Here is an 11200-nt window from a genome sequence, read left to right on the forward strand (position 1 = left end):
AACTAACAGTGTTGAAGCTTTCTTTTGATAGAGCAGTTTTGAAACACTCTTTTTGTAAAATCTGCAAGAGGATATTTGGATAGCTTTGAGGATTTCGTTGGAAACGGGATTGTCTTCATATAAACTCTAGACAGAAGCATTCTCAGAAGCTTCATTGGGATGTTTCAATTGAAGTTGCAGTGTTGAACAGTCCCTTTCATAGAGCAGGTTTGAAACACTCTTTTTGTAGTATCTGGATGTGGACATTTGGAGCGCTTTCAGGCCTATGGTTTAAAAGGAAATATCTTCCCCTGAAAACTAGACAGAAGCATTCTCAGAAACTTATTTGTGATGTGCGCCCTCAACTAACAGTGTTGAAGCTTTCTTTTGATAGAGCAGTTTTGAAACACTCTTTTTGTGGAATCTGCAAGTGGATATTTGTCTAGCTTTGAGGATTTCGTTGGAAACGGGATTACATATAAAAAGCAGACAGCAGCATTCTCAGTAAACTTATTTGTGATGTGCGCCCTCAACTAACAGTGTTGAACCTTTCTTTTGATAGAGCAGTTTTGAAACACTCTTTTTGTAATATCTGCAAGAGGATATTTGGATAGCTTTGAGGATTTCGTTGGAAACGGGATTGTCTTCATATAAACTCTAGACAGAAGCATTCTCAGAAGCGTCATTGGGATGTTTCAATTGAAGTCACAGTGTTGAACAGTCCCTTTCATAGAGCAGGTTTGAAACACTGTTTTTGTAGTACCTGGAAGTGGACATTTTGAGAGATCTCAGGAATACGGTGATAAAGGAAATATCTTCCAATAAAAGCTAGATAGAAGCAATGTCAGAAACTTTTTCATGATGTATCTACTCAGCTAACAGTGTTGAACCTTTCTTTTGAGAGAGCAGTTTTGAAACACTCTTTTTGTGGAATCTGCAAGTGGATATTTGTCTAGCTTTGAGGATTTCGTTGGAAACGGGATTACATATAAAAAGCAGACAGCAGCATTCCCAGAAACTTCTTTGTGATGTTTGCATTCAAGTCACAGAGTTCAACATTCCCTTTCAGAGAGCAGGTTTGAAACACTCTTTTTATAGTATCTGGATGTGGACATTTGGAGCGCTTTGAGGCCTATGGTGAAAAAGGAAATATCTTCTCCTGAAAACTAGACAGAAGCATTCTCAGAATCTTATTTGTGATGTGCGCCCTCAACTAACACTGTTGAAGCTTTCTTTTGATAGAGCAGTTTTGAAACACTCTTTTCGTAAAATCGGCAAGAGGATATTTTGATAGATTTGAGGATTTCGTTGGAAACGGGATTGTCTTCATATAAACTCTAGACAGAAGCATTCTCAGAAGCGTCATTGGGATGTTTCAATTGAAGTCACAGTGTTGAACAGTCCCTTTCATAGAGCAGGTTTGAAACACTCTTTTTGTAGTATCTGGATGTGGACATTTGGAGCGCTTTCAGGCCTATGGTTTAAAAGGAAATATCTTCCCCTGAAAACTAGACAGAAGCATTCTCAGAAACTTATTTGTGATGTGCCCCCTCAACTAACAGTGTTGAAGCTTTCTTTTGATAGAGCAGTTTTGAAACACTCTTTTTGTGGAATCTGCAAGTGGATATTTGTCTAGCTTTGAGGATTTCGTTGGAAACGGGATTACATATAAAAAGCAGACAGCAGCATTCTCAGAATCTTATTTGTGATGTGCGCCCTCAACTAACAGTGTTGAAGCTTTCTTTTGATAGAGCAGTTTTGAAACACCCTTTTTGTAAAATCTGCAAGAGGATATTTGGATAGCTTTGAGGATTTCGTTTGAAACGGGATTGTCTTCATATAAACTCTAGACAGAAGCATTCTCAGAAGCTTCATTGGGATGTTTCAATTGAAGTCACGGTGTTGAACAGTCCCTTTCATAGAGCAGGTTTGAAACACTCTTTTTGTAGTATCTGGAAGTGGACATTTGGAGCGCTCTCAGGACTACTGTGAAAAAGGAAATATCTTCCAATAAAAGCTAGATTGAAGCAATGTCAGAAACTTTTTCATGATGTATCTACTCAGCTAACAGAGTTGAACCTTTCTTTTGAGAGAGCAGTTTTGAAACACTCTTTTTATGGAATCTGCAAGTGGATATTTGTCTAGCTTTGAGGATTTCGTTGGAAACGGGATTATAGATAAAAAGCAGACAGCAGCATTCCCAGTAACTTCTTTGTGATGTTTGCATTCAAGTCACAGAGTTGAACATTGCCTTTCATAGAGCAGGTTTCAAACACTCTTTTTGTAGTATCTGGATGTGGACATTTGGAGCGCTTTCAGGCCTATGGTGAAAAAGGAAATATCTTCCCCTGAAAACTAGACAGAAGCATTCTCAGAAACTTATTTGTGATGTGCGCCCTCAACTAACAGTGTTGAACCTTTCTTTTGATAGAGCAGTTTTGAAACACTCTTTTTGTAAAATCTGCAAGAGGATATTTGGATAGCTTTGAGGATTGCGTTGGAAACGGGATTGTCTTCATATAGAATCTAGACAGAAGCATTCTCAGAAGCTTCATTGGGATGTTTCAATTGAAGTCACAGTGTTGAACAGTCCCTTTCATAGAGCAGGTTTGAAACACTCTTTTTGTAGTATCTGGATGTGGACATTTGGAGCGCTTTCAGGCATATGGTGAAAAAGGAAATATCTTCCCCTGAAAACTAGACAGAAGCATTCTCAGAAACTTATTTCTGATGTGCCCCCTCAACTAACAGTGTTGAAGCTTTCTTTTGATAGAGCAGTTTTGAAACACTCTTTTTGTGGAATCTGCAAGTGGATATTTGTCTAGCTTTGAGGATTTCGTTGGAAACGGGATTACATATAAAAAGCAGACAGCAGCATTCTCAGAAACTTATTTGTGATGTGCGCCCTCAACTAACAGTGTTGAAGCTTTCTTTTGATAGAGCAGTTTTGAAACACTCTTTTTGTAATATCTGCAAGAGGATATTTGGATAGCTTTGAGGATTTCGTTGGAAACGGGATTAATTATACAAAGCAGACAGCAGCATTCTCAGAAGCTTCATTGGGATGTTTCAATTGAAGTCACAGTGTTGAACAGTCCCTTTCGTAGAGCAGGTTTGAAACACTCTTTTTGTAATATCTGGAAGTGGACATTTGGAGCGTTCTCAGGACTACGGTGAAAAAGGAAATATCTTCCAATAAAAGCTACATAGAAGCAATGTCAGAAACTTTTTCATGATGTATCTACTCAGCTAACAGAGGTGAACCTTTCTTTTGAGAGAGCCGTTTTGAAACACTCTTTTTGTTGGATCTGCAGGTGGATATTTGTCTAGGTTTGAGGATTTCGTTGGAAACGGGATTACATATAAAAAGCAGACAGCAGCATTCCCAGAAACTTCTTTGTGATGTTTGCATTCAAGTCACAGAGTTGAACATTCCCTTTCATAGAGCAGGTTTGAAACACTCTTTTTGTAGTATCTGGATGTGGACATTTGGAGCGCTTTCAGGCCTATGGTGAAAAAGGAAATATCTTCCCCTGAAAACTAGACAGAAGCATTCTCAGAATTTTATTTGTGATGTGCGCCCTCAACTAACAGTGTTGAAGCTTTCTTTTGATAGAGCAGTTTTGAAACACTCTTTTTGTAAAATCTGCTAGAGGATATTTGGATACCTTTGAGGATTTCTTTGGAAACGGGATTGTCTTCATATAAACTCTAGACAGAAGCATTCTCAGAAGCTTCATTGGGATGTTTCAATTGAAGTCACAGTGTTGAACAGTCCCTTTCATAGAGCAGGTTTGAAACACTCTTTTTGTAGTATCTGGATGTGGACATTTGGAGCGCTTTCAGGCCTATGGTTTAAAAGGAAATATCTTCCCCTGAAAACTAGACAGAAGCATTCTCAGAATCTTATTTGTGATGTGCGCCCTCAACTAACAGTGTTGAAGCTTTCTTTTGATAGAGCAGTTTTGAAACACTCTTTTTGTGGAATCTGCAAGTGGATATTTGTCTAGCTTTGAGGATTTCGTTGGAAACGGGATTACATATACAAAGCAGACAGCAGCATTCTCAGAAACTTATTTGTGATGTGCGCCCTCAACTAACAGTGTTGAAGCTTTATTTTGATAGAGCAGTTTTGAAACACTCTTTTTGTAATATCTGCAAGAGAATATTTGGATAGCTTTGAGGATTTCGTTGGAAACGGGATTGTCTTCATATAAACTCTAGAAAGAAGCATTCTCAGAAGCTTCATTGGGATGTTTCAGTTGAAGTCACAGTGTTGAACAGTCCCTTTCATAGAGCAGGTTTGAAACACTCTTTTTGTAGTATCTGGAAGTGGACATTTGGAGCGCTCTCAGGACTGCGGTGAAAAAGGAAATATCGTCCAATAAAAGCTACATAGAAGCAATGTCAGAAACTTTTTCATGATGTATCTACTCAGCTAACAGAGTTGAACCTTTCTTTTGAGAGAGCAGTTTTGAAACACTCTTTTTGTGGAATCTGCAAGTGGATATTTGTCTAGCATTGAGGATTTCGTTGGAAACGGGATTACATATAAAAAGCAGACAGCAGCATTCCCAGAAACTTCTTTGTGATGTTTGCATTCAAGTCACAGAGTTGAACATTCCCTTTCATAGAGCAGGTTTGAAACACTCTTTTTGTAGTATCTGGATGTGGACATTTGCAGCGCTTTCAGGCCTAAGGTGAAAAAGGAAATATCTTCCCCTGAAAACTAGACAGAAGCATTCTCAGAATCTTATTTGTGATGTGCGCCCTCAACTAACAGTGTTGAAGCTTTCTTTTGATAGAGCAGTTTTGAAACACTCTTTTTGTAAAATCTGCAAGAGGATATTTGGATAGCTTTGAGGATTTCGTTGGAAACGGGATTGTCTTCATATAAACTCTAGACAGAAGCATTCTCAGAAGCTTCATTGGGATGTTTCAATTGAAGTTGCAGTGTTGAACAGTCCCTTTCATAGAGCAGGTTTGAAACACTCTTTTTGTAGTATCTGGATGTGGACATTTGGAGCGCTTTCAGGCATATGGTTTAAAAGGAAATATCTTCCCCTGAAAACTAGACAGAAGCATTCTCAGAAACTTATTTGTGATGTGCGCCTTCAACTAACAGTGTTGAAGCATTCTTTTGATAGAGCAGTTTTGAAACACTCTTTTTGTGGAATCTGCAAGTGGATATTTGTCTAGCTTTGAGGATTTCGTTGGAAACGGGATTACATATAAAAAGCAGACAGCAGCATTCTCAGAATCTTATTTGTGATGTGCGCCCTCAACTAACAGTGTTGAAGCTTTCTTTTGATAGAGCAGTTTTGAAACACTCTTTTCGTAAAATCTGCAAAAGGATATTTTGATAGCTTTGAGGATTTCGTTGGAAATGGGATTGTCTTCATATAAACTCTAGACAGAAGCATTCTCAGAAGCTTCATTGGGATGTTTCAATTGAAGTCACAGTGTTGAACAGTCCCTTTCATAGAGCAGGTTTGAAACACTCTTTTTGTAGTATCTGGAAGTGGACATTTGGAGAGATCTCAGGAATACGGTGATAAAGGAAATATCTTCCAATAAAAGCTAGATAGAAGCAATGTCAGAAAATTTTTCATGATGTATCTACTCAGCTAACAGAGTTGAACCTTTCTTGTGAGAGAGCCGTTTTGAAACACTCTTTTTGTGGAATCTGCTAGTGGATATTTGTCTAGCTTTGAGGATTTCGTTGGAAACGGGATTACATATAAAAAGCAGACAGCAGCATTCCCAGAAACTTCTTTGTGATATTTGCATTCAAGTCACAGAGTTGAACATTCCCTTTCATAGAGCAGGTTTGAAACACTCTTTTTGTAGTATCTGGATGTGGACATTTGGAGCGCTTTCAGGCCTATGGTGAAAAAGGAAATATCTTCCCCTGAAAACTAGACAGAAGCATTCTCAGAAACTTATTTGTGATGTGCACCCTCAACTAACAGTGTTGAAGCTTTCTTTTGACAGAGCTGTTTGAAACACTCTTTTTGTAAAATCTGCAAGAGGATATTTGGATTGCTTTGAGGATTTCGGTGGAAATGGGATTGTCTTCATATAAACTCTAGACAGTAGCATTCTCAGAAGCTTCATTGGGATGTTTCAATTGAAGTCACAGTGTTGAACAGTCCCTTTCATAGAGCAGGTTTGAAACACTCTTTTTGTAGTATCTGGAAGTGGACATTTGGAGAGATCTCAGTAATACGGTGATAAAGGTAATATCTTCCAATAAAAGCTAGATAGATAAGCAATGTCAGAAACATTTTCGTGATGTATCTACTCAGCTAACAGAGTTGAAACTTTCTTTTGAGAGAGCAGTTTTGAAACACTCTTTTTGTGGAATCTGCAAGTGGATATTTGTCTAGCTTTGAGGATTTCGTTGGAAACGGGATTACATATAAAAAGCAGACAGCAGCATTCCCAGAATCTTCTTTGTGATGTTTGCATTCAAGTCACAGAGTTGAACATTCCGTTTCATAGAGCAGGTTTGAAACACTCTTTTTGAAGTATCTGGATGTGGACATTTGGAGCGCTTTCAGGCCTATGGTGAAAAAGGAAATATCTTCCCCTGAAAACTAGACAGAAGCATTCTCAGAAACTTATTTGTGATGTGCGCCCTCAACTAACAGTGTTGAACCTTTCTTTTGATAGAGCAGTTTTGAAACACTCTTTTTGTAATATCTGCAAGAGGATATTTGGATAGCTTTGAGGATTTCGTTGGAAACGGGATTGTCTTCATATAAACTCTAGACAGAAGCATTCTCAGAAGCTTCATTGGGATGTTTCAATTGAAGTCACAGTGTTGAACAGTCCCTTTCATAGAGCAGGTTTGAAACACTCTTTTTGTAGAATCTGGATGTGGACATTTGGAGCGCTTTCAGGCCTATGGTTTAAAAGGAAATATCTTCCCCTGAAAACTAGACAGAAGCATTCTCAGAAACTTATTTGTGATGTGCGCCCTCAACTAACAGTGTTGAAGCTTTCTTTTGATAGAGCAGTTTTGAAACACTCTTTTTGTGGAATCTGCAAGTGGATATTTGTCTAGCTTTGAGGATTTCGTTGGAAACGGGATTACATATAAAAAGCAGACAGCAGCATTCTCAGTAAACTTATTTGTGATGTGCGCCCTCAACTAACAGTGTTGAACCTTTCTTTTGATAGAGCAGTTTTGAAACACTCTTTTTGTAATATCTGCAAGAGGATATTTGGATAGCTTTGAGGATTTCGTTGGAAACGGGATTGTCTTCATATAAACTCTAGACAGAAGCATTCTCAGAAGCTTCTTTGGGATGTTTCAATTGAAGTCACAGTGTTGAACAGTTCCTTTCATAGAACAGGTTTGAAACACTCTTTTTGTAGTATCTGGAAGTGGACATTTGGAGCGCTCTCAGGACTATGGTGAAAAAGGAAATATCTTCCAATAAAAGCTACATAGAAGCAATGTCAGAAACTTTTTCATGATGTATCTACTCAGCTAACAGAGTTGAACCTTTCCTTTGAGAGAGCAGTTTTGAAACACTCTTTTTGTGGAATCTGCAGGTGGATATTTGTCTAGCTTTGAGGATTTCGTTGGAAACGGGATTACATATAAAAAGCAGACAGCAGCATTCCCAGAAACTTCTTTGTGAAGATTGCATTCAAGTCACAGAGTTGAACATTCCCTTTCATAGAGCAGGTTTGAAACACTCTTTTTGTAGTATCTTGGATGTGGACATTTGGAGCGCTTTCAGGCCTATGGTGAAAAAGGAAATATCTTCCCCTGAAAACTAGACAGAAGCATTCTCAGAATCTTATTTGTGATGTGCGCCCTCAACTAACAGTGTTGAACCTTTCTTTTGATAGAGCAGTTTTGAAACACTCTTTTTGTAAAATCTGCAAGAGGATATTTGGATAGCTTGGAGGATTTCTTTGGAAACGGGATTGTCTTCATATAAACTCTAGACAGAAGCATTCCCAGTAACTTCTTTGTGATGTTTGCATTCAAGTCACAGAGTTGAATATTACCTTTCATAGAGCAGGTTTGAAACACTCTTTTTGTAGTATCTGGATGTGGACATTTGGAGCGCTTTCAGGCCTATGGTGAAAAAGGAAATATCTTCCCCTGAAAACTAGACAGAAGCATTCTCAGAAACTTATTTGTGATGTGCGCCCTCAACTAACAGTGTTGAACCTTTCTTTTGATAGAGCTGTTTTGAAACACTCTTTTTGTAATATCTGCAAGAGGATATTTGGATAGCTTTGAGGATTTCGTTGGAAACGGGATTACATATAAAAAGCAGACAGCTAAGCATTCTCCGAAACTTATTTGTGATGGGCGCCCTCAACTAACAGTGTTGAAGCTTTCTTTTGATAGAGCAGTTTTGAAACACTCTTTTTGTAATATCTGCAAGAGGATATTTGGATAGCTTTCAGGATTTCGTTGGAAACGGGATTGTCTTCATATAAACTCTAGACATAAGCATTCTCAGAAGCTTCATTGGGATGTTTCAATTAAAGTCACAGTGTTGAACAGTCCCTTTCATAGAGCAGGTTTGAAACACTCTTTTTGTAGTATCTGGAAGTGGACATTTGGAGCGCTCTCAGGACTGCGGTGAAAAAGGAAATATCTTCCAATAAAAGCTAGATAGAAGCAATGTCAGAAACTTTTTCATGATGTATCTACTCAGCTAACAGAGTTGAACCTTCCTTTGAGAGAGCAGTTTTGAAACACTCTTTTTGTGGAATCTGCAAGTGGATATTTGTCTAGCTTTGAGGATTTCGTTGGAAACGGGTTACATATAAAAAGCAGACAGCAGCATTCCCAGAAACTTCTTTGTGATGTTTGCATTCAAGTCACAGAGTTGAACATTCCCTTTCGTAGAGCAGGTTTGAAACACTCTTTTTGTAGTATCTGGATGTGGACATTTGGAGCGCTTTCAGGCCTATGGTGAAAAAGGAAATATCTTCCCCTGAACACTAGACAGAAGCATTCTCAGAATCTTATTTGTGATGTGCGCCCTCAACTAACAGTGTTGAAGCTTTCTTTTGATAGAGCAGTTTTGAAACACTCTTTTTGTAAAATCTGCAAGAGGATATTTGGATAGCTTTAAGGATTTCGTTGGAAACGGGATTGTCTTCATATAAACTCTAGACAGAAGCATTCTCAGAAGCTTCATTGGGATGTTTCAATTGAAGTCACAGTGTTGAACAGTCCCTTTCATAGAGCAGGTTTGAAACACTCTTTTTGTAGTATCTGGATGTGGACATTTGGAGCGCTTTCAGGCCTATGGTTTAAAAGGAAATATCTTCCCCTGAAAACTAGACAGAAGCATTCTCAGAAACTTATTTGTGATGTGCGCCCTCAACTAACAGTGTTGAAGCTTTCTTTTGATAGAGCAGTTTTGAAACACTCTTTTTGTGGAATCTGCAAGTGGATATTTGTCTAGCTTTGAGGATTTCGTTGGAAACGGGATTACATATAAAAAGCAGACAGCAGCATTCTCAGAAACTTATTTGTGATGTGCGCCCTCAACTAACAGTGTTGAAGCTTTATTTTGATAGAGCAGTTTTGAAACACTCTTTTTGTAATATCTGCAAGAGAATATTTGGATAGCTTTGAGGATTTCGTTGGAAACGGGATTGTCTTCATATAAACTCTAGAAAGAAGCATTCTCAGAAGCTTCATTGGGATGTTTCAATTGAAGTCACAGTGTTGAACAGTCCCTTTCATAGAGCAGGTTTGAAACACTCTTTTTGTAGTATCTGGATGTGGACATTTTGAGCGCTCTCAGGACTACGGTGATAAAGGAAATATCTTCCAATAAAAGCTAGATAGAAGCAATGTAAGAAAATTTTTCATGATGTATCTACTCAGCTAACAGAGTTGAACCTTTCTTTTGAGAGAGCAGTTTTGAAACACTCTTTTTGTGGAATCTGCAAGTGGATATTTGTCTAGGTTTGAGGATTGCGTTTGAAACGGGATTACATATAAAAAGCAGACAGCAGCATTCCCAGAAACTTCTTTGTGATGTTTGCATTCAAGTCACAGAGTTGAACATTCCCTTTCATAGAGCAGGTTTGAAACACTCTTTTTGTAGTATCTAGATGTGGACATTTGGAGCGCTTTCAGGCCTATGGTGAAAAAGGAAATATCTTCCCCTGAAAACTAGACAGAAGCATTCTCAGAAACTTATTTGTCATGTGCGCCCTCAACTAACAGTGTTGAACCTTTCTTTTGATAGAGCAGTTTTGATACACTCTTTTTGTAAAATCCGCAAGAGGATATTTGGATAGCTTTGAGGATTACGTTGGAAACGGGATTGTCTTCATATAGAATCTAGACAGAAGCATTCTCAGAAGCGTCATTGGGATGTTTCAATTGAAGTCACAGTGTTGAACAGTCCCTTTCATAGAGCAGGTTTGAAACACTCTTTTTGTAGTATCTGGATGTGGACATTTGGAGCGCTTTCAGGCCTATGGTTTAAAAGGAAATATCTTCCCTTGAAAACTAGACAGAAGCATTCTCAGAAACTTATTTGTGATGTGCGCCCTCAACTAACAGTGTTGAAGCTTTCTTTTGATAGAGCAGTTTTGAAACACTCTTTTTGTGGAATCTGCAAGTGGATATTTGTCTAGCTTTGAGGATTTCGTTGGAAACGGGATTACATATAAAAAGCAGACAGCAGCATTCTCAGAAACTTATTTGTGATGTGCGCCCTCAACTAACAGTGTTGAAGCTTTATTTTGATAGAGCAGTTTTGAAACACTCTTTTTGTAATATCTGCAAGAGAATATTTGGATAGCTTTGAGGATTTCGTTGGAAACGGGATTGTCTTCATATAAACTCTAGAAAGAAGCATTCTCAGAAGCTTCATTGGGATGTTTCAATTGAAGTCACAGTGTTGAACAGTCCCTTTCATAGAGCAGGTTTGAAACACTCTTTTTGTAGTATCTGGAAGTGGACATTTGGAGCGCTCTCAGGACTACGGTGATAAAGGAAATATCTTCCAATAAAAGCTAGATAGAAGCAATGTCAGAAACTTTTTCATGATGTATCTACTCAGCTAAAAGAGTTGAACCTTTCTTTTGAAAGAGCAGTTTTGAAACACTCTTTTTGTGGAATCTGCAAGTGGATATTTGTCTAGCTTTGAGGATTTCGTTGGAAACGGGATTACATATAAAAAGCAGACAGCAGCATTCCCAGAAACTTCTTTGTGAA

At 38.2% G+C, this 11200-nt stretch overlaps 1 annotated feature.

The window, feature by feature from the left end:
- Positions 1-11200: part of a centromere (Linear centromere model derived predominantly from reads generated in PMID: 17803354. This region does not represent an actual centromere sequence, as long-range ordering of repeats and unmapped WGS contigs is not provided by the model. For details of model production, see http://arxiv.org/abs/1307.0035.) that runs on past both edges of the window.

Source organism: Homo sapiens, chromosome 2 (genome assembly GCF_000001405.40).
Source record: "Homo sapiens chromosome 2, GRCh38.p14 Primary Assembly".
Lineage (NCBI taxonomy): Eukaryota > Metazoa > Chordata > Mammalia > Primates > Hominidae > Homo > Homo sapiens.